The sequence below is a fragment of the Homo sapiens genome, chromosome 7 (genome assembly GCF_000001405.40).
Source record: "Homo sapiens chromosome 7, GRCh38.p14 Primary Assembly".
Taxonomy (NCBI): Eukaryota; Metazoa; Chordata; class Mammalia; order Primates; family Hominidae; genus Homo; species Homo sapiens.
Window position 1 is genome coordinate 92,742,060 of NC_000007.14, and position 24,735 is coordinate 92,766,794.

A 24,735-nucleotide genomic window follows, 5' to 3' on the forward strand; every position below is an offset into this window, starting at 1 on the left:
GAGACAAACAATGATACAAATAAGTACTGGGTTGTTTTTAAGATTTACTCAGTTTGTTTAAAATATTTTAGAATGAAAACTAAATCAATAATGTCCTCTCAGAACAACTTGAACTTTGCTTAGGTTGAGAGTGAAAAGCTTAATCAAAAGTTTAAAGGCAAAATAACCAAGGTAAATACCCTAAGTAAGAAGTTTCTTTTGAAATAGAAATTGTACTTTCTTTCCTTGAATATTTCCAATCTCTGCTTCTGTTCTTCTGTTATGTTTGTCAGAATCAGCACACAGCACCTTTCAAAAATGTTTTCTGAAGGTTTTTATCTGCTAAGGCTGTAAGCAGGCAACTTTTTAGCACAGATTTTGGGGTCATCTCAGAGTGTCAGACATGACACTTGCTGGTTTGCCAAGAGGTATCAGGCTCACCAGTGCTATCTGGTGTTTCTTTAACACTTATATTTGAATGTAGTTTGTTTTTATTTTGTACTTTAACTATATATCTAAGAGGAATACAGTTTTTACACTCATCCCAAAATATACATACACACACAACCTTAGACTCTTCATTCACAAAGTAGTACAATGGTAGGCTAAACAAATTGTTTTTCTTCTTTAAAGTTTGTAAACTCTTTTTTTTCTGAATTTACCAGTTAAAATTTTATATGTATAAAATGTATACATATATATATACACACACACACACACACCCCTTTTGTACTTTTTTGGAAGATAAAATGCATGCTGGAAATTGAAAGTGTTTAATATTTAAAAGCCTAGCTATGAGGCTTCATTATCTGTAACATATTTAGAGTTCGCAGTTAAAAATATTTTACTGGAGACTTAAAATGTACAAGTATGGGATGTTTGTGTTCCATATTATGAATTGCTAAAATAGGCTAAAAGGCAGTAGGGAAACATTTTGTCTCTCTATATTTTTTTAAGTGCTCAGATAGAAGAGAGGTCCAAGTGATAAGACCATTAGTTTGCTGCCCTTTCTCGGTGAAGAGAGAGGGGAAGGATCCCATTCAAATCCCTACATCCTGGGAGATTTTTGCACTGCATGTATCTGCCAAAGGACTTATACTCACAATATATAAAGAACTCCTGCTACTTTGAGTTCGAGACCAGCCTGGCCAACATGGTGAAACCCCATATCTACTAAAAATACAAAAATTAGCTGGGCGTGGTGGCAGGTGCCTGTAATCTCAGCTACTCAAGAGGCTGAGGCAGGAGAATCGCTTGAACCAGGGAGGCAGAGGTTGCCATGAGCCAAGATCATGGCATTGCACTCCAGCCTGGGTGACAAAAGCGAAATTCTGTCTCAAAGAAAAAAATAAATAAATAAAATAAAAATAAATAAAAATAATAATAAAAAAAGAACTCCAGCAACTCAATTAGAAAAAGACACACAAGAGCGAAATTCTGTCTCAAAAAAGAAAGAACTCCATCAACTAAATTAGAAAAAGACACACAATCCAATATTTAAAAATGGGTTAAAGATGTGAACAGGCACTTCACAAAAGGGGAAACCCAAAGTCCAGTAGCTTGTAAAAAGGTTAACCTCATTAATCATCAGTGAATTGAAAATTAAAAGCACAATAAGATATCATTACAATGGTTTAAACTGACTATATCAAGAGTTGACAAAGATGGAGAGCAGTCACATACACTGATGGTGAAACACAAATGGTCTATCCACTTGGGAAACATTTTGGCAGAGAGAGGAACAAAAATTCATCTCACAGACAAGATGCTCAGTAAAAGAAGCTATACACAAAAAGCACATACTTTTTATATGAAATAAGTCAGTGTAGTGATTACATCTGGGGGAGGGAGTTATAGACTGGGGAAGGCATAAGGAAGACTGGAATGTTCTGTATCTTGATCTGGATGGTTACACTAGTAAAACATCATCAAACTGTATGCTTGAGATTAGTGCACCCACTTTATTCTACATCTCTTATTCTGCAACTAAAAAAAAAATTTATTGTCTTTCCAATATTTGTCCAAATCTGGGAAGTTATTCAGTACAGGTATGCTATTCAGGACCTCCCTGGCAGGCTAATCATTAGATGTTTCATGGACTGGCACAGAGACTGTATTAGTCTGTTCTCACACTGCTAATAAAGACGTATCAGAGACTGGGTAACTTACAAAGAGTAAGAGGTTTAATGGACTCACAGCTCCACATGGCTGGGGAGGCCTCACAATCATGGCGGAAGGCAAAGGAGGAGAAAAGTCACATGTTACATGGCAGCAGGGAAGAGATAATGAAAGCCAAGCAAAATGGGCTTCCCCTTATAAAATCATCAGATCTCGTGAGACTTACTCATTACCACTAGAACAGTATGAGGGAAACTGCCCCCATGATTCACTTAACTCCCAACGGGTCTTTCTCACAACACATGGGAATTATAGGAGCTACAATTCAAGGTGAGATTTGGGTGGGGACACAGCCAAACCATAACAGAGACCTCAGTTTTCCTTTGGGATCTGTTGCTGCTTCTTAGTAGTACTTTACCTAATTTCCATTTACATCAGTTTACTCATTGGTAAATGGGAGGATACTATGTTTGTCTCATACACTATTAATCAGGTAATATGCATGTGTGTAACTGCTTTGAAAAGTAAAACTATTATATGAATGTACACATTATTATTTTACAGCATTTGGAAGAATCCAAATTTCTCCAAGTAATGTTAAATATGTAACATTTTTATCACTGCCAACTCCCTGGACAGTTCTCAATTTCTTGAAACACGAAGAGTGGAAAGTTTGTAAGTAAGACAAAAAGTGTATAGTCATCTTCCTTTCACTCTATAGTACACTGCAAGAGACTCAAGGTATAGGCTTTATGGTCCTAACTCTTACCTTTCTCGCTGGGCGACCTTGGGTAATTTTGTGTATTTTATTTTTAATTGACAAATAATAACTATATATATATTCATGAGGTGCAATGTGATGTTTTGATAAATGTATAAATTGTGGAATGATTAAATCAAGCTAATTAACATGTCCATTTTATCGAATCTAAATCTTAATGTACTACTAAAAAAGACAAATGACTGTCAAACTGACATGACACAATTTCTTATCATTCAGAAGTTTTAATTATGCCCATTAAAAGGGCTCTTGCAGACTTCTTCACATTTGGATTTTATCTATCATTCTTGAACATACATTAAAAATTAAATTTGAAATGAAATAATTTGATGAAGGTATTCCAAGAATTTCTTCACATTCAGAGTCCTGCTCTTTCACATCCTTTTCTACTCAGAGTTGTTAGATGTCTGTGTTTTCCACACAATTTTGTCTTCTGTCCCATGAAGGGCACTGATGACAGAGCAGTAGAACTCTACTATGACCTCGAGGATTTTCATGCCTGCCATTGAGTAACTCTGCAAGTTTCAGGCACGTGGGCAGGCAATCACCACTGGATCAGGACTGATGCCTGCGAACAGTGACTTCAAAATGTGTTCTGTTTTCAAAGGCCCATTTGTGAAAAAATGGGCATCTTAGAACTGATCAAATGTGGTACTTCGCTCTTTGAACCTCTTTAATAAAATAATATTTATCTTCACAGGATATGATAAAGATTAAATTAGATAAGGTTGAGGGTAGAGTATTTGAGTTTGAAAATAACTTTCCATGAAAAAATTTTAAATGTAGCCGCTATTTCCAGGAACCTGTGTTGCTGATAAGTCTGCTGCTTTTTCACTTTGGGCCCCAAATCTGCTTCATACTATATTTATCAATCCAGCCATCCAATAAACACTGAATATACAGCAAAAGAATGAAAATTTAACTAAGCACTATTTTTATTTGCTAAATCTGGCAAACTTATCACCTACCCTAATCTTAGTCTCTTCCAAAGAGGTAGTCCCTATTATCAGTTTGTTGTATATTCTTCCAGGTTTGGTTCTGTGAATTATATGAGATATACATGTACTTCAGATAAATGGAACCAACCAGACCGTACCTACAGTCCAAAAAATGGCTTTCCCCCAACTCAACACTGTGCCTTAAAGATAATTTCTTATAGGTCTATGTCATTCTTTTTAATTGTCACATAGTATTCTATACATAGCAGTCTATTCAGCCATCCCTCTACTAATGAACTTAGATTATTTCCATTTTTTCCATTATAATTAATGCTACAGCAAATTTTCTTATTCATGCCTCCTTTTGCCCTTGTACCAGGATTTCTCTGAGAAGTGAGAAGTCTCAGTCGCTGAACATATGTATTTTTAATATTAAAAGATACTTCCAGATTACCTCCAAAATGCTTTAAAGGCAAAGCATCCCTAATCTGAAAATCCAAAATCCAAAATGCTCCAAAATCTAAAACCTCTTGAATGCCAACATGATGTCACAAGTGGAAAATTCCACGTTTAAGTACTTAACACAAACTTTGTTTCATGCACAGAAGTATAAATATTGTATAAAATTACCTTCAGGCTATGTGTATAAAGCATAAATGAAAAATAATTTTGTGTTTAGACTTGGGACCTATCCCAAAGATGTCTCATTATATATACACAAATATTCCAAAATCTGAAAAAATACAAAATCCAAAACACAGTTCTGGTCCTAAGCATTTCAGATAAGAGATACTCAATCTGTTCCAATTTATAATCCCAACAGTTGGTGTACGAGACTATCCATTTCTTAACAGTCTCACCAACACCTGACATTATAAAACTTTTTATTTTTTTTGCTTGCCTCAATATGATGGGGGAAATATTTACTATCATTTTACTTTTCATTTCTCTTATTGTAGTGAGATTTGGGCATTTTTTCATACTTCTTAACCAGTTATTTTTCTATATGCTCACAACTTATTATTTTAATAACCTAAAATCAGTATCAATTTTGCTGGATTGTATTTTGTAGAATCTATCTTTTTCCTATCTTTAAAAAAACACAGAATATTTCTCACTTCTAGTATTGTGGCACCTCTCCTAGATTCCATGACTCCTCAAAGGTTACATGGGGCTCAGAAGTTGCAGCCACAAGTTATTGCAGTGCCCTGAGATATACCTTCCTATTCCAGGCCAAATTCAACAAGACTAAACTATATAATCACCTTCCCCAAACTGATAATTAACTTACCTATTTCTGCTTTTCCTTTACTCCGGACAATGAGTAACCAAGTCCTGTCAAGTCTTCTCAATTTCTCATTTCCTTCCAATTAATCATCATTGCCCCACTCCAGGTACAGGCCCTGATTATTTCATTCCCAAACCAGAGGACCATTCTCTTTGACTGATCTCCTGTTGTAATTTCTCCTAAACGAGCACACTGCTACCAGATTAATCAGCTGAAAACACAACAATGGTATCAGCCACCCACCCAAGAGCTGCCTAATTTGAGTTTGAAACACAGTGCCTCCACAATCAAGTCCACTTCTCTCCTGCTTAACTGGCTTCTTGCACTCATCTCTCCAGATGTACCCAGCCTAATGGTGTCTTTCCCCAAGTGGAAACCAGCAAATCTTGAGCAAGACTTCAAATCTCTGGCTTCTGCTGGCTTGTGTCACTCATGCCTCAGAGTAACAGCTTCAATATTCTAAAAAAATTGCCACTTTCTTTAGGAAGCCAGTCCTTATTTTTCCCTCTTCTGAATTCCTGTGGCTTTTGTCATTTGTAACACACTGTATTCGTCATAAACTGCCTTATGTGGTGGCTATTTCTCTATGTATCTCATTCTCCCTTTCTAGATTTTAAATTATCTACAAGCTGTGTGTCCACATTAACATGCTGCTGCACAAGGACTTACAGAATAAATAAGATATAAAACTAGGTTGTATTTCTTTGCTAGGTAGGCTTTCTTGTTCCCATATAAAGCAGGCCAATAAAAGGTGATGTATTTTAAATACATCAAATATTAGAACATTCTAAAAATTACCATTTCAATTTCATCAGCTACCATCAGGAAAGAATTGAGGGAAAATGCGCAGATGGTAATATACTATATTATTCCCAGGGCTTTTACTTTTTAAGTGTTTCAATACACAATGGAAAATTCTTAAAATTAAATCTCTAAACTTATTGTGTGTTCTAATGGCATACTGCATGTTCTATACTCAGAACTTTTACAGATAACAGGTTACAGAATATGGCTTTCCAGAGAATCTGAAGATTTTCAATAGTATTTCAAGAAGCAACTATTATATCATCAGCAAGAAGGAGCAGGAAATGCAAAAAAGGCATTTTATAGTCAACAAACGCTCAAACCAGAAGGAAGAAAGGCCTTTAGGGACACCAAGTAGATCAAGTCATTTTGGCGGGCCATTAAAGGCTCCATGCAAAATCTAGCTGACATCACTTTAGGCAATTTTGATATGCCAGTATTATTACTGGTCAGACCCTTGGTATAGTTCTATGATCAGTTGAAAAGCACATGGACGTAACTAGAAAATACACAAGAGAAGAATCTCCATCCTTTATATCATAGAATGCTGAACTGTCTACAAAATACTTTCTACATTTTAACTCATTTGACTTGCATATTTTAATCCTTGTTTTATGGATAAGAAAACTAGGGCTCAGAAAAGTCAAGTGACTTGCTCAAGTCACATGGCTAGTAACCAGGTGTCTTGTTGCTAGGGACTCTCTTTCATAACATAGAATAAATAAAATGAAATAAGCAGATGGTGTCTTTTGGCCTTAAGACCTCTCAGTACTACAGTACTTCCTTAAATCTAGTTGAGGCACTGCTTCCTGAGGCCCCATGGAAGGCAAATATATGACTACTCATATCCCACTCCCATTCCCCATCCACACCTATAGAATTAATGAATGTGATTTTGCAACTTAAGATCAAGTGAGCCAGGGGTGGTGGCACATGCCTGAAATCCCAACACGGCTGGGCGCGATGGCTCACACCTGTAATCCCAGCATGTGGGAGGCCGAGGTGGGCATATCACAAGGTCAGGAGTTTGAGACTAGCCTGACCAACATGGTGAAACACCATCTCTACTAAAAATACAAAACTTAGCCAGGCGTGGTGGCGCATGCCTGTAATCCCAGCTACTCGGGGGGCTGAGGCAGGAGAATTGCTTGAACCTGGGAGGCGGAGGTTGTGGTGAGCTGAGATCACACCACTGCACTACAGCCTGGGTAACAGAGGGAGACTCTGCCTAAAAAAAAAAAAAAAAAAAGAAATCCCAGCACTTTGGGAGGCTGAGCCAGGAGAATTGCCTAGGCCCAGGAGTTTGAAATTAGCCTGGGCAACATAGCGAGACCCTGTCTCTACAAAAAAAATTAAAAAGTTAGCTTGGTGTGGTAGTGTGCACCTGTAGTTTCAGCTACTTGGGAGGATTGCTTCAGCCCAGGAGTTCAAGGCTGCAGTGAGCTATGATCTCACCATTGCATTCTAGCCTGAGTAATGGAAATGTCTCTGTCTGACAAAAACAAAAACAAACCAAAAACCAAAACCAAACAAACAAAAGATCAACTGAGAAAAAACAGATGCCAATGTCCAAAACCAAACCTGAAATTCTTCAGGGTATTCATATCAAATTCTCATTCCTATAATCACATGTACATTTTTGATCCTCTGAACCTCTTTTCCACTTATATCTCATAGGGAACTTCTGACTGCTCTGCAGCACTTGGTGGGTGTGTCCTGTAAGTTTTTGAAGGCATTCTGCTGTACTGATTTGTAGCCTTCTTTAGTCCTGTGAGGGTATGCAATAAATGTTTACCAAATTGAATAAAAGCCACATGTTTATTCAACATACACCCTTATTTGACAAATACGCAAGTGATTACCAGGGAAATAGGATAATAACTTTGATAGTGCATAGTGAGCACTACTGAAATGAAATGCAGAGACATAAATGATTACAATTCTTCATGGAGAAAAAATATATACTGTACTTGGAATGAGGCTCTAGTTGAGGAGAATAAAATGTTAAGAATGAAAGTTCTAGTGAAGAGAGCATTACTGATTCTGGGGTAGGTCAGTCAAATGAGGGCAAAGTTCAAACTAACATTGTTTTTAGAGCAATGTACAAGCAAGTATAGTAACACATTCAAACCAGTAATAAGATGTTTTAAATATAGGTCTTTATTCTAGGAAATAATTCTACATGAGTGAGAAAAACACATTTATATGGCTTTTGGAAAGTCCACCGAACTAGAATAATAGGAACTTGGTTACAGTCCTAGCACAGTACTAACTGCATGACTTTGGGCAACTCACCACCCTCTTCGGGACCCACTTCCTTAAACATAAAGTGGGGAGAGGCTGGGCTACATATATTCCAAGGAATTTTCCAACTCTAAAAATGTTATAATTTCACTGATTTGTGTATAAGTGATACCTTCAGGACTCTAAAATGGCCTCCTGAGTAGGTTAAAAATGATTCCTCCAGTTTTGGTTACAATCCTAATTTGTGGATTCCACTTTGATCAACCTTGCCAGCTTCTCAAGATTTCAATTTGGGTTGCCACTACGCCATATTTTGAAAATTACAAGAAAGAGTAAAACGGGAATGGGCTGACTTTACATGATCTATGAGTCACAGTGATAAAACCTTATTGTAACAAGCCATTTCTAAACAAAAGTAACACAAATAAATGAATTTACGTCACAATGTGGAAGGCAAACCTTTTTCAGCATCCTAGTCACCTTTTGAGACCTGATGGAATGACCTGACAGAACAACTGGAATGCTGGTTTTGAAAATGTCTTGTTATAGTCACAGTGTGATCTGAATTGGTTTTTGCAAGCCTTTCTTTGGCTTAATTCAGTTTTCGCAATATAAAAATTTACCTGGCATAAAGGAAGTTTTTAAAAAAAGGATTTAATGATACTTAATGACAGAGTTTTCAACAGCTAATAAGCCATTCATTCCTAGGTTTTGAGGCAGAACATGGATTACCAGCTAAACTACTACACGATTTATTTCCTGTACAGACGTCATATTTGATCATTACAAGAATTGATAATAAAAGTTATGACTTGGGAGGTCTTCGTATTTTTTTACAAAGGAAATAGACACAGATTCTAATATATACAAAACACTAACTAGACAAATTCCTGGAGTGCTTTCTGAATTGCCAAGAGGAACAACGTCATATAAAAATTCCTTCGAAATGCTAAAATTCCATTTCTAGTGGTCTCTCATAATCTTCCTTTGTTCTCAAATAAAGGTGTAAAATATTTTGTCACACAAGAAAAACTGCTAAGAAGTCTTAAGGTGATGATGAATCTCCTACTTTGGATACTAGATTATTGCTGATATTTTAAGAAGAAAAGAAGTGTTCGAGATACATTTTGTCTTGAACTAAGTTGGGCTCTAATTCACAATTGTGTTAAAGTTCATGTATCATGTGTAAAAGTTGTACATCATACCCTCAGATTTTTTTTAAGCAGGATTTTTTCATTGGAGAGAAGATAATTTAACTGGAGACTATCCTAATTCAATGATAACAATACAGCAAAAGTAACCATAAACAGGTAACAATTAACAGAGATCTGTGAGGAAACAGCATAAAAACTGTTATCACATACGCAGTTTTATTAACTTTTTGCAAATAAATTAGGCTGTATCTTTGTAAAGCACACAGTATGTATTCCTCAATGGTTGTAAAGTAAATATGCAGTGATAAGAGTATATTCTCCTTAACTCTGAAAATAATTTTAGGGATGTTAAGCAAACAACAATATATTTTATGAATGGCCAAAATCTAATGAAAAACTTTTATTTCTGAATCCTATCATTTATACCATGTGGTTTAATAATAATACAATTAAATATATGTCTTCATTTCATTTCTGAATTTATTTTATACACTTAAGAGGATTATAATAATTAAAATTATAAAAATAAATTACCTTAATGGCCCAGAGGGCACGGAAATGCTAAAACATTTATGTTAAGTAGGAGTTAACTCATTAAAGAGCACTGACAAAGATATAAAAATTATATTTAATTCTACTATGGTGACTTAGATGAAATGAAAACAGTCTAATGGGTTGTGCAAGAGTCACAAATCTAGCTCCTGGCTCTATACTTGTGTGAACTTGGGCAAATCATTAAGTAGCTATTTATGCCAGCTGCCTCCATCTGTAAAATAAGGACAGTGCTGCTTCCCAACTGCATGAGAATGTCCTAGGCTCAGCTTTGAGAAGTTTCCCTCAGAGTTTAATCTTTAAAAAAAAGCCAAACCCAATCAAGATATAAAGGTATAGGAAATGTTAAATTTCCTTAAACTTGCAGACTAGACAATGTCTTCCAATGGCATTGCAGAGGTTGAACTATTCCACTGTTCATGAAAATAGTCATGTTATTGATTCACTACTAGGCTTGTGTCTACATGAGACAGAACTCTGAGAGTAAACAGGGGATAAGTTCTGGTGAAAAGAATGCAGTGAGTCATTAGGACCACAAGTGAAATGAAATGCTATACCAAATGCTGTTGAAACTTTGGGACCTAAAATGAGAAACTACTTTTTCCCATGAGAACTCAGTAATTATCATTTTAATGCATGTTAGGAAAGATTTTCAAGTTCTTAGATGACATGTTTAAACGTAAGTGTTTTCAATGAAATACGCCATTTTATAAAATACAGTCACTATTAATTAATGCCAAAACTAAGAGAATTTTTATGGAATTACATACAGACATATGACTACCAAAGCAGTTCATCATGATTGATGTTATTATTCTGAATACCACAGGAGTTAGTAATGATTCGGTGCCTTCCCATGAAGTTCAAGCCAATGTTTTTTTTGTCTAATTGGCTCATCATTGTTCACTAAATTGGTATTTTCTCTGCTATTCCTATTTCCAATCCTCTGGTATTCCTCTAGAGTCTACACAATCTTCAGGTAACTGCTTCAACTGAAGCCTGACATTATACGACAGATCCTGAAATTAGGCCAAAGAAACAATTCTGAAATAATAATGCTTTTTAAACATGAAGCAAGCCTAATTTATTTACTTTCTCTATATTTTCATATTTAACCAAAGAAACAACCTACTTTATGGTGATTAAATCTACTTCTGAACATCAAATTGTGACCTTATTAAGTTATTAAATTATATGCTTCACCTGTGAATACTGAAGCATATGATTTAATAACTTAATAAATGTCACAACCTGATGTTCAGAAGTGGATTTAATCTCAAATAGAATTCAATTACTGATGATCCCCTAAAATCAGAGATCAGCAACAAGAGTAGATGAAAAATCATTTACAGTCTACCCATCTGTAAGACCAGAGATCCCATAATTAGTGATTGAGCCCATACTCATGAGGGCTCGCATTTATGTGTACCTTACTGATTTTCCTTTGTGATCTAACATTTGAAAAATTATAAATACCGAATGAGGCAAATTTCTCAGAATCTACACATTATTTTGAGAAATACTTTTATTTCTCAATTTTTAGATATACTTAAAATTGCATAAGAAGATTATCTTATTTATTTATTTATTTTTGAGACGGAGTCTTGCTCTGTCGCCCAGGCTGGAGTGCAGTGGTGCAACCTCGGCTCACTGCAACCTCTGCCTCCTGGGTTCAAGCGATTCTCCTGCCTCAGCCTCCCGAGTAGCTGGGATTACAGGTGCACACCACCACGCCCAGCTAGTAAGAAGACTACCTTTTGAAATTGGCATCTCTTGCTCTAAGAGGGCCAACTAAAACTGGTGCCTCAAGTTTCCTGCCTGACATCATGGCAGAAGTATTGAAGAAAGCCGTTTCTACCTCAGATTTGTGGTTCATTCCTACTCCCTGCTTTCAATGAGGTAGGAGGACCCCTTTGTTGCTGCTAGTATTGGTCATAACTCCTGTGCTGAGTCAGCTCATGGAATGATATAAACAGTTCACCTGGGAATGGAAACCTTGTGTTCCACCTCTGCTTCATTGTGAGATCATAGACAAGTCCCTAACCTCTGATTTCTGTTTTCTAACATATACAATGAGGGTCTCAGACTAGATAATGTCATAGGATGGGAACAGCCCTAACATTCATCACTGACAATCTCTCCAGGCTCTGCTTGGTGATCCTGTCACTTCTTCCACACAGGAAGAGATGAAGTCTCAATAAACACAGTAACACTGTTACTTCCACTCAATTATCCTAATGGTTGCTTCTATCCCTCACTTAAATATTTTAAATGGTGCCAGCATCTTCCTCAGTAACATTCAGGAAGCATCTCAGTAAAATCAGAAGATGATTATTCCCTGCACTGCATTGTCTTTGGTGCAATCATTTAGATGAACATCAGCTCATTTTCCTGTACTCATTAGTATTGATCATTTTCAGAACTCCTGTCATTTTTATGCCCCCAAAGCAAAATGGTCTCTTTTCAGAGGAGAAAGTTCCAGGTCTACATAAATGAACGCAAAACCTGTTGAAGTTAAAACATGGTAAGAAACCATTCTTTTCCCCCATTCTTTCTGTAAACAGTTTTAATGATTAGTTCAATTGAGTAAGTTGGAACAAACATAATTTCACACAGGACCATCTCAGTCACCCATCCCTCTGTGCTGGTAATCAGAATTTCACTAGACAAAGCCACTCCAAAGCACAGTATGTGCTTATAAAGGTTAGTCAGGACTCTATTTGGATAACAGCAGCTTAATTCAATCTTTAAAAAATAAAACAACAGTTTTTGGAAGCCTGTATTTTAGAGTTTCTTTTCTCATCTTGGATTGCCTTTCTCCTCTATAACTGGTTCTCATTTCCCAAAGTCTCTTCTTGTTTGTGCTCCCTAAAAGTCACCATAGCTTGTGGTAAAGAAGGGTTGACAGTCAGCAAGATGGATCTTTCTGGAAATGGAAGCCGTCTGGAGCCCACCAATTTTAACTACTTCAGTTTGAGCTGAGGAGGAGTTTATTGCCGCTCTAGTCCCCTTCCCTGTGGCAGTAAATTACCAACAATTAACAGAGTCCATTTCCTTTCACCCTCTTGGCCCTACCACTCTTCTCTGCTCTCAGCAAAAACATAAAAACGATCCCCCAAAGGACAAAACCTGCCACCAAGGCAGCAGCACTGTGGTAATTTCCCAAGGCATTATGATTGATAATGATCAGCAGAGCGTGGGATAATAGCTCCCCTTAATTTACTGGTCCCTTTGAAGGGTTAAAATATGGCAGATGTTGATAGCCGACACTCCTTGCTAACAGGAAAGACACATTGCTGTGGGGCCCACTTCTAGGCTTTCCTTTCCCCGCAGCTGTCTGTGTAGGGCTAATTGTATCCACTTGTTTAACCTCGGGGAACGTCTGGAGGGGACCCAGTGCCACAAGGGTACCTTTTTTTTTTAACGGTCATTTCCTCTCTGGTGTAACTTGCATGACAGTATGTGACAAGCAGAAATTAATGGGGACACTGCTGTGCCAATTCCTCCTGAATTGCTGACACTGGCTACAGGCTGCCTGTTTGCCACCCAGCCAAGACCTCACATGAAACATGGCGAGGGGCCCACAGCTCTATTCACCAACAAGCCAGCTGGTCAGTGATGAGAGGAGCTGAAACAATGTGGTGCGCACAAACCAGGAAGAAAATGCTTTACAAACCGCTTCAAACCAAGGAGGTGGCATTTGCTGGGAGTTAATATGCTAGTTTATTTTCCTGAGTGGCAAATTGCTGCAGGACTCCAATCTCCAAAGTGCATTAGATATAAAAAGTATTCCTCTTCCAAAGCCTCCTAAGGTATAAGTTGGGGTGCGGATACCATTCAGGCAAAAGGGAACCACATGAGATTTATCTCCAAGGAGTCTTTTCCAACAGTCAGCTTCCAGGAAGGTCTGGGAGCCAACAGGGTATCTCTTGCCTCTAGCTAACTACCACAGAGCTGCCCGGTTTAAAAATTCTATGCATGGGTATCTCTTTCACTCTTTCTTGCACATACAAGTGCACATACAAACACACACACAAAAGAACCTCATGTTCAAGCCCATTAATTGCCCACAACGTTTTGCAAGGTTGGAGAATCTGCCCCAACCTTGGCAAAGTCCACTTTCTCCCTTTAATATAATAAGGGATCAAACTCAGCTGGCGGTCACTTAAAAAGGTGGCTCTGTTATAGATTAGGCCCTGCTGATTTAGGCACAGATGAGTGAATAGAGGCATGTAAAATTGTAAAAAAAAAAAGAAAAAAAGACCCAGCAAAAAACTCACCTAACTATGATCTTGTGTACAACTCAAAAGTCAAGTTTAAGGAGAAAAGGGGGAAAGGTGTAATGGGAAAATTACATTGGTAAGATTTTTACAACAAATTTGGGAAGCCCTAAGGCCATTTCAAAAAGGCACAACAAACAGGCTCCTCAATTTTGTGGCTGGGCATGGCATGTAGTGAAATTTTGCTGCTCTGAAGTAGTGGAGAAGCTCATAAAAACAAGAATCTATTTAATTCACTTTTTCTTCTATTCAAAGTTTTAACCAGTTGATGTGAATCGGCTTTACCCAGTTTCTGGGAAAATAAGGAACCCTCACAGAAGCCAGGGAATTCAGTCAATGAACAATGTAGGTTTAGATCTAGGTTAGACAGGGCTCTCATTTGTTGGAGAATAAAAGAGAAGAGACTGCAATAACTTAAAGAGTTGTATCAGGTTCACTGTTGGTATTAATAGAAGGAAGATGTATGCTTCTACTTCCAGGGGAACTCTTCCAATGCAACATTAGAGTGGTGGGCTCAGGATTGTCATTCTTTGGCCATCCTGTTAAAGGGACAGGCAATCTATCTTTCCAATAACAAATGGGATTAACAAAATTCTCCATTTCAATTGGGCAAGAAGCGCAAGACCAGAGGGGGAAGAAACGGAGTATGCATACCCACCTCCACTGGATAAGGGATCTGGGAATAACTTTGGTGGGGCTTTTCTTTTCTAAATATAATTTGTGAGAGAGCTACTGAATTTAGGAAAGGTTTAAAATGTTTCTAACCCAGAACTGAAACACAGGCCTGGAAAAAAACACAAAGGAAGAAGTCATGGAATTGGAAATGCTAATCTCTTAAACAAATACATTTCCAAAATATACTATATAATGCAACCCGAGCCTTTTAAAAAAGTTCACTGCCAATATAGTCTTTAAGGATCTGTGCTTTCTGATAACAAAGTACTGTAATATTGATTTTTAACTTTTATTTTAGGTTTGGGGGTACATGTGAAGATTTTTTATATAGGTAAACTTGTGTCACAGGAGTCTGTTGTACAGATTATTTCATCACCAAGGTATTAAGCCCAGTACTGAACAGTTATCTTTTCTGCTCCTCTCCCTTCTCCTACCTTCCACCCTCAAGTAGACTCCAGTGTCTGTTGTTCCCTTCTTTGTGTTCATAAGTTCTCATCATTTAGCTCCCACTTACAAGTGAGGACATGCAGTATTTGGTTTTCTGTTCCTTCATCAGTTTGCTAAGGATAATGGCCTCCAGTTCTATCCATGTTCCTGCAAAATACATGATCTTGTTCATTTTTATGGCTGCATAGTATTCCATGGTGTATATGTACCACATTTTCTTTATCCAGTCTGTCACTGATGGGCATTTACGTTGATTCCATGTCTTTGTTATTATGAATAGTGCTGCAATGAACATTCACATGCATGTGTCTTTATGGTAGAATGATTCATTATTCCTCTGGGTATACACCCAGTAAAGGGATTGCTGGGTCGAATGGTAGTTCTGCTTTTAGCTCTTTGAGGAACCGCCACACTGATTTCCACAATGGTTGAACTAATTTACACTCCCACCAACAGTGTATAGTGTTCCCTTTTCTCTACAACCTTGCCAGCATCTGCTATTTTGTGACTTTTTAATAATAGCCATTCTGACTGGTGTGAGATGGTAACTCATTGTGGGTTTGGTCTGCATTTCTCTAATGATCAGTGATATTAAGCTTTTTTTAAATATGCTTGTTGACCACATGTATATCATCTTTTGAGAAGTGTCTGTTCATATCCTTTGCCCACTTTTTAATTTTTTTATCTTGTAAATTTGTTTAATTTCCTTACAGATGCTGGATATTATACCTTTGTCAGATGCACAGTTTGCAAATATTTTCTCCCAATCTGTAGGGTGTTGTCTGTTTACTCTGTGATAGTTTCTTTTGCTGTGCAGAGCTCATAAACTTAATTAGAGCTCACTTGTCAATTTTTGCTTTTGGTGTCTTTGACATGAAATCTTTGCCCATTCCTATGTCAAGGATGGTATTGCCTAGGCTGTCTTCCAGGGTTTTTATAGTTTTGGGTTTTACATGTAAGTCTTTAATCCCTCTTGAGTTGATTTTTGTATATGATGTAAAGAAGGGGTATAGTTTCAATCTTCTGCATATGGCTAGCCAGTTATTCCAGCACCCTTTACTGAATAGAGAATCTTTTCCCCATTGCTTGTTTTTGTCAGGTTTGTGGAAGGGCAGATGGTCATATGTGTGTGGCCTCATTTCTGGGCTCTCTATTCTGTTCCATTGGTCTATGTGTCTGTTTTTGTACCAGTACCGTGCTGCTTTGGTTACTGCAGCCCTGTAGTATCATTTGAAGTTCGGTAGCATGATGCCTCCAGCTTTGTTCTTTTTGCTTAGGATTGCCTTGGCTATTCAGGCTCTGTTTTGATTCCATATGAATTTGAAAATAGTTTTTCTCCTAGTTCTGTGAAGAATGTCTTTGGTAGTTTAATAGGAACAGCATTGATTCTGTAAATTGTCTTGGGCAGTATGTCCATTTTAATGATATCAATTCTTCCTATCCATGAGCATGGGATGTTTTTCCATTTGTTTGTGTCATCTCTGATTTCTTTGAGCAGTGTTTTGTAATTTTCATTGCAGAGATTTTTCACCTCCCTGGTTAGCTGTATTCCTAGGTATTTTGTTCTTTTTGTGGCAATTGTGAATGGGATCTGGCCTTCCTGATTTGGCTCTTGGCTTGTCTGTTGGTGGTGTATAGGAATGCTAACGATTTTGGTACACTGATTTTATACCCCAAAACTTTGCTGAAGCTGTGGTTAAAAAGCTGCATGGCTTGTCAAAGGCTAGCCAACTATCCATGTTCTATTTGTGAGTTAGGGAACTACAAATTGTATTTTAAAAGGCAATCCAGCAAGCAGCTGAATATAACACACACCCAGGCTTCTTAGCCCTTCTTCATGCTTCCTTAGGTCTCTTATCAGAACAAGAAGAATAGAGATCTCTGTTATGGCTTTCCTGTGGCAAGTAAAAGACAAGGCGATGATTTTCCAGTCCATTTCCCCTGGCAACATGCTCATCAATCACCAAAGGCTAGGACTTTGTTATTTTGGCTGGAGGCAAAAAAGCTTAGTGGTTTCTGTCTTAGTGAAATAGGACTCTCCTTTAACCTGTGTTTCAGATTAGCATCAGGGCTTGCTGCCTCCACCTTAAGTGTATCTGCTTTGATGGCATATAGGCTCACAGGACGAGTCTGGAACACACCAATTTTAGCTACTATAGAAATGATTTGGTCTGGGATAAAAGTTATTTTTTTTAAAAAATGTGTGTGGTGGGGCCAGTTTTCTAAATCCAACAGGGGCATTACCAAAACTATGGGTATTTATCTTTCTGCAAGTGATGTGTCCTCAGCAGTTTTCATTTACTGTTATCCATACTGGTCTATTTTCACCTTCATACTTTCAAAAGGCCACAGTAGGATGGAACAACAGACTTTAAGGCAAAAAAAAAAAAAAAAAAAGAAAAAAGAAAGCTTAAAAAAAAACCATACACACAAATTCCCTTTGTTTGGCATCACTTTCCCCTTTTATCCCATTTAATTTGAAAGAAATGTATATTGTCCTTGAGTGGACAGTGGAGTTATATACAAACATGTTGCTGTATGGCCATGCACATACAATGAAGATTGCTGTTAGCACTTCAAGTCTCAAATTAAATATTTTGCTTCAAGAAAAACTGAAAATGGAAAGACATCTAACACTGCTTCATTAAACCAATTCAGCATTCATAATATCTTATCTATTCACGGACAATCTCCCTGTACCTGCTAATCCAGGATTTTAAAAGTATTGAAAGCCTAGAGATTGTTACAGAAATCCCTGTATCAGTAACTGTCATTGTAGTAAAAATAGGCTTGCAACTTTACTGTATTCTGTACACAGACATTAATTTAAAAATTTACTCTCATCAGCAATTGCTTCCATTTACAATCAAGTGAAATTTCTCCATAGCCCAATTATACTATTTAATGGTAAAATGTTTGTAAGACTAAAGGAGATAACAATGGTGTCAATAAATCTCATTAGAAAACTTATCATATCATTTTTCCTAGTCCTTCAATGTTTGCTATTTTATCAATATCATCATCATCAGTAAACATGTACTGAATGTTTTTAATGTATACACACTGATTATTTTACAAAACCTGTCCCTTTGTGTTGCCTAAGAGCAAAGGAAGTGACACTATGTTGTTAATTCTTATGTTGGGCTATAAAGATTCAGATGTGAGAACTTCAACTTTTCTGTAATAGAGGGCATTCCCCAATAAGATGTATGCTAAAACAGCCTTTTGTTGGATTATAAAAATATTGGGTTGAATTATATGAAACTGTCATTTTTGTAGGGCAAAACCAGTCAATTATTGGGAATGTCAAAGGGTTTTAATGTTGTATGGCACTAACCCATTGTAAACAATAAATTATAAGGAACCCATAATACCCTGACAGAGATATATACTGTTAATAATTTCATGCTAGTTTTTTAATATATGTATTTGAAATACATTCCCAAAATGGGATCATATTGTATATATGTATTTCTTTAGGCAATTATTCTTCAACAATATGAGATTTTTTGAAAAATCATCCTATGAGATGTATTCATTTTGCTAGATAAATTTTCATAATGTATTTAATCATCCCCTATGGTACATTTTTTTATTGTTCATTTCTCTAATTATTTGGGAGGTTGAGCATTTCCCATGTCTACCAGCGTTCTGTATATATGTACATCTTTGCAAATTTGTTCATGTTCTTATCCATATCTAAACTGGGTAATCTCCTTTTTCTTAGTGGTTTGTAAGAGCTTTTTATATATTAAGGATATTAAACCTTTGCCATAGTTTTTGCAAATATTTTATCATTTGCTTTTTAGTTTTATTTATAATATTTTCAGTCTAAAATTTTTATAGTCTAATGCATGAATCATTTCCTTTGCGATATTTTCTACTGTTTCGCACTTAGAAAACTCTACTACCAGATCTGAAAAATATTTGTTTACATATTATTATATCATTTAAAAAATTAATAATAGCTCTCTCCTACACACATATCTTTTGAAACTATAAAGTATTTAGACTGTGTACAAAATATAAAACAGGCCACTCGTTTGGTATCCAAAGCTGAAAGTGTTGTCTTCAGCCTCCTAACCAGCACTAAATGTTACTAAATCAGGCCTGTTTCTAGCAAAATTTACAAGCAAACTCAGCTGTCTTCTTTTCTAAGGAAAATTTCCTGCTGTACAAAGGGTTACCTCTGAACAGTATCTCCATTATTTCACTCATGACTCCATTCCTAATTTTCTGTTTTCTGGCAGCTGCTCTCCAACTTACAAATAATGTGTGCCTTTGTTTAGAGTTCCTTAAAAAAACTGTATATTCTAAATGTGGAAGAAAGCTCAATTTATTTTACTTTGAAACCTGAGAAATCAATAACATGAACCATATGTTAATTATAGAACTTGGTGATAAATAAAGTAAGAAGTCCAGTGAAACTGTGGAGAAAGTGATGGTGGAGTTGAAACAAAAAAGAAGTCCTTTCTCTTCATGTGTGATGCTCTCATAAATCTCCCCACTTGGGAGGATACCAAAATGCAACTCTTTTTCTTAATTCACTCTAATGTAATTTGTGTTTTACTTCCTTCCAAGTTCCCAAGTGTTTTTATTAGGATTTTGCAGCAAAGATAAGATGCATATCATGGGCTGTTAGTATAGTGGCAACATTAAGAAAAGATGATGTCAAAGACAAAACTTAACTGATATTTATGTCCTTCTGTGGTGTTTATTTCAATTTACATAGTTTTGTACTAAAGATATAAGTCAACTCATCTTTAGTTTCTGGTTGAAATATTAAAGGACTTGAGGTTTACAAGATCAATTGCTATGATCAGAGTAATAATCATAATGGGGGGGACAAGAATTAGCAATGTAATGTTTCAGGCACTTACACTCAGCATAATCACATGCTTTTTAAAAAAGCACTTTCTTTTTGGTTTATTTATGGTAAATAAATCTCTCCTTCTTTTTTGTGACTCATTCAACCAATTCTCTTCCTGTGATCACCAACCTATTTCTTCCCTATTCTTGAACCCCATCCTCCCGACCCGGAATATATTTTGGTAGAGGAAGGAAGCAGAGGGAAGCAGGGCCCTCACTCATAGCTTTTATACCATCTTAGTCTCAACAAACATTTCAAGTCTTCAGCTATGAGTAATGGTGAATTTCTCAGTTCCAGACTTAAATATTAACATATGATATATTAGTGAAATTAAAATTTTAACAAGTGTTTATTCCATACTAACCGTATTCATAGAACACCTTTTTTTTTTTTTTTGAGATGGAATCTCGCTCTGTCACCCAGGCTGTAGCGCAGTGGCACAATCTCGGCTCACTGCAACCTCTGCCTCCCGGATTCAAGCAATTCTCCTGCCTCGGCCTCCCAAGCAGCTGAGATTACAGGCATGTGCCACCATGCCCAGCTAATTTTTTTTTTGTATTTTTAGTAGAGACGAGGTTTCACCATACTGGCCAAGCTGGTCTTGAACTCTTGACCTTGTGATCCACCCACCTCAATCTCCCAAAGTGCTGGGATTACAGGCGTGAGCCACCGCGCCCGGCCTAGAACATCTTAAATTGAGGATAGCTATTTCCAGATTGATCTAAATCTGATTGCTTAATAGTAAACTTATCTTTTAATGTTGCAGTTCCTAAACATTATTTTATGCCTTGCAGTCCCCAATCTTTGCTACATTTGGTTTAACATTCTAATCTAAAAGTGGTATGACTATACTACAGTAGAATGATAAATATTTTCTTTGGTTTTGGCCAAGAAATAAAAAATTAACAAGTATGGCCAGTGACAACAGTGAACACTGGTAATATAAAAATCAGCAAAACTGCTAGCTTAAATTTGCTAAAGGCCTAGAATGACAATTAGAAGAAAATTAGATTCTGAGTACTCATGGCTTTCAATATATGAGCCTCAGAGTACTAGGTTTAGCCACATTGGTGTCAGCACTAAAAACCTATGACTATGATATATTTAAATTTAATATAGTTTTGGTTCCTTACCAATAAAACAGGAGTAGGAATTCTGACCCATTACACTTGCAAGTCTGGTAATGGTTTACTAATTTAAGACCCTAGAGAACTGTTAAATCATTAGTGTATATGAAACAAATAGCAACTTTCAAAGGTCAAATCATGAATGAGTGATGAACACTTTTTTAAAGGAAAGATTTTTGTGTGGCTTAAAAATTTTTAGTTGGAATTCTCCTATTCCTAAGCATCTCTTTAATTTATATCTCCTATTAATGAGTAAGTATTTTTCAATAGAACATTTTAAGGAATAAAACTTCAGTGCCTTTAAACAAATTTCCTACATATCAATGACGTTAGTAAAGCACCACACCTGACTTCACCTGGGCTTAGATTGCCTAAACCTACTGATTGGCTGGGGTTACCAATGCACAGGCAAGCAAATATTCCAGATGTCTGAGTCATCTCAGAATGTAAGGGAGATGTTTTCCATTTCCCACTTGTGTCATATGACATACTGCGGGGGTTGGGAGTATGTCTTAAGCTGCAGTGTCTGGTGTCACCAGAGGGTACTTATTAGAAACTCCCTCCTGAGACTATGTTTGACAATGAGGAATCAGTTAGGGCAGGATTGTCATTTTAAGTGAGCACCCCAGGTGGTTGATTCACTGACCACACTTGGAGAAACAAAGCATAGTGTTTACAAAGCCTTTATCAACCCTTTATTAGATAGTTACTCATTTTTGCAAAATCTGTTGGGTTTAAAAAAAAAACCTGTTGGGTTTAGTCCATTTTCCAGGCATCCTAATTAATCTAACCATTACATGGTAGTAGCCAAGGTTTATTTGTCTTTTTTTTTTTTTTTGAGGCAAGGTCTTGTGCTCTGTCACCCAGGCTGCTGTGCAGGGGTGTGATCATGGTTCGCTGCAACCTGAATCTCCCAGGCCCAAGCAATCCTCCCACCTCAGTCTCCTGAGCAGCTGGGACTATAGGTATGCACCACAACACCTGGCTAATTTTTGTATTTTTTGTCAAGACAGGGTTTCTCCATGTTTTGCCATATTGTTGAATTCCTGGGCTCAAGTGATGCGTCCTCCTTGGTCTCCTAGAGTGTTGGGATAACAGGTGTGCACCACTGCGCCCAGCCCACTTTGTCATTTCTGACATTCAAGGAATTCTCTTTTACTCCCTAAACTCCAAGTGTCACAGTGCCCAGATGCTAAGTCCTTAATTAAATATATGAATCCATATTCAGGCCAACCTCTCCTCCTCACTTGATTTACCGTAAGAATCAATCTTTCAGGACAATTTTGCTTCTAGAGGGTGATGATGAGGAAGAGGAAGAACAGAATGACAGTAACTACAACATTATTCTACATACTGAAGACACCAGATTCTCATAACTGGCACTATGGGGTTTGCAAGGCTTCATTATACAACTTTTTGTGAAACCACATATTCATTCAACAATTACTTACTAGAACCAGTAATTACTTACTTAACTGCAATGAAACGATTGTTTAATTTTTTCCACCTTGCTTAGGAATGAGGAATAAGATACTATCTCAGATAACTGATGGATACCTACTTTGTATGCCTTTCACTGATTTAAAATTTTGTAATGACAATATTGCAAATTGTTGGCAATTGCTCTAGTAGAATGGTCCTTTTTTTCAACTTAATATATATGGGCATCTGAAATTTCTGGGTAAGAATGATAAAATCCAAATGAATAAATATAGTATAGTACTTCAAAGATTTAAAAAAATAACTTATTCCTTTGAAGCTTCTAGTTCTCGTGATGGGAATGGGGAAGACAGCATACAATTGGGATATAGGGAAAGTAATTTTAAAATGAAAAACATGTATCACTACAAAATTATTTTTTAGATATATACTCCTGAGATACGAGAATAGGGTCTAAAATTCATGACATCCATCCGTCTCTTCACTGAGCTTAGTTCTCCATCCTTGGTATAAAACATATTTAAGCGTCCCACCCCGGGGAAGAACAATTTCTGGAATTCAGTTAGTATTTTTGGAATTAGTACTATTTTAAGGAGAATATATCTTATAGTTTTGGTAGGATCAGTTATTGGTTTTAGACTATTTCTAAACCAAGCTATATTCTTAGCTACAACACAGATAATCCCAGAATCCCGGCCCACCACAGAGAACTGAATGCGCAAGTGCAAAGTGAATGTGCCAAGATACAACATACCTTCAGCTTATTTTTCTGTAATATAAATATTTAAAAATTTTATCCTTGAAAAAGTACCATTTCCTGGCTTGTACAATGGTGGTATTGATGCATACATTTCTGAGTTAATTAGAAGATAAACACCTAGTACAGTTACAAACACATGTTTACTGAGGATCCCCTATGTTCCAGGCAGTATGCTGGCCCTGGAGCTAGTGCAATGGACTAGAGTCTTGACTTAAAGTCTCATCTAGTTGGGAAAGATTAAAAAACAAACATAAAAAATAAATGAGATAATTTCAGCTAAGTGCTATGAAGAAGAAGATAAAATAGGATAATGTGGTGTAATGTGATAAACTATAACTAGATGTGGAGTTGTAGCTGAGAGGGTCAGAGAAGGAATGATGAAGACATGACATGAGCTAGAGGGTGTGGAGCATTCCAAACAGATGAAAAATCAGCACGGACAAATGCCGAGCTAGAAGCAAGCTGGAGGAACAGAAAGAAGGCCACTGTGGCTGGAGAACCGTGGGCCCAAGGAAGAGTGGAGGCAGATCAGAAAGGCAGGGGGTGGGGAGCACTAGATCATGTAGGACTTCTGATTTTATTCTACAGGTCATGAGAAACCACTGGAGCTAAGTTTTCAGTAGGGAAGTTAGATAATTTTATTTCTGCTTTAATAAGGTCCCTCTGGTTGTTATACAGAGGATGGTCCATAAAGGGGCAGGAGCAGAAGTGGTGTGTTGAGTTAGGAAGCTGGTTGATGGGTTAAACTAGAACTATAGCAATGAAGATATTGAGAAGTAGTCAGATTGGGGATATCTTTTGGGGATAACACCAAAAGCACTTACTGATGGATTGGATGAAGACTGTGAAGGAAAGCAAAAAATCAAGAATTATGCCTAAACTTGGGGCTCAAACAACTGGCAGATAGGGAAGGCTTGAGTTTGGCAGAGGATTCTCGGTCAATGTTTTACATGGTTAGCTGACTATCTGTACCAAGAGCATGTGGGAGACGTCAGGCTGGAGAATAGGTATTTGAAGATTCTGGACTAAATGACATCACTTGATTAGAAAGTGTAGCCAAGGAAAAGAAGAAGGCTGACAGTGAAGCCTTGGATGTTCCCATGTTTAGAGGAAGAAGAGCCAAAAAAAGAGACTGCAACCAAGGAGTTTAGCACAGGCTAAATTTAGATGAGAAATAGCCTTCCTTCTACGCAGAAGAGCACTCTGCTATCTGTTGCCATGGTGATATAAACGGGTATATACTACCTGCAAGTTTTAATGGACTTTGTAAACAGATTC

At 36.9% G+C, this 24,735-nt stretch overlaps 1 protein-coding gene across 3 annotated transcripts in view, besides 1 other annotated feature; it reads right to left on the reverse strand.

The window, feature by feature from the left end:
- Positions 1-24,735, reverse strand: part of CDK6 (cyclin dependent kinase 6) — a 231,653-nt gene that overhangs the window by 137,139 nt on the left and 69,779 nt on the right. The window lies entirely within an intron of this gene.
- Positions 22,053-22,680: an enhancer, noted in NCBI's record as "OCT4-NANOG-H3K27ac hESC enhancer chr7:92393426-92394053 (GRCh37/hg19 assembly coordinates)". NCBI's record gives its function as "activates a minimal SCP1, AML or CMV promoter by ChIP-STARR-seq in naive and primed H9 embryonic stem cells {active_cell/tissue: H9 hESC(naive and primed)}" and the evidence as "EXISTENCE:reporter gene assay evidence [ECO:0000049][PMID:30033119]".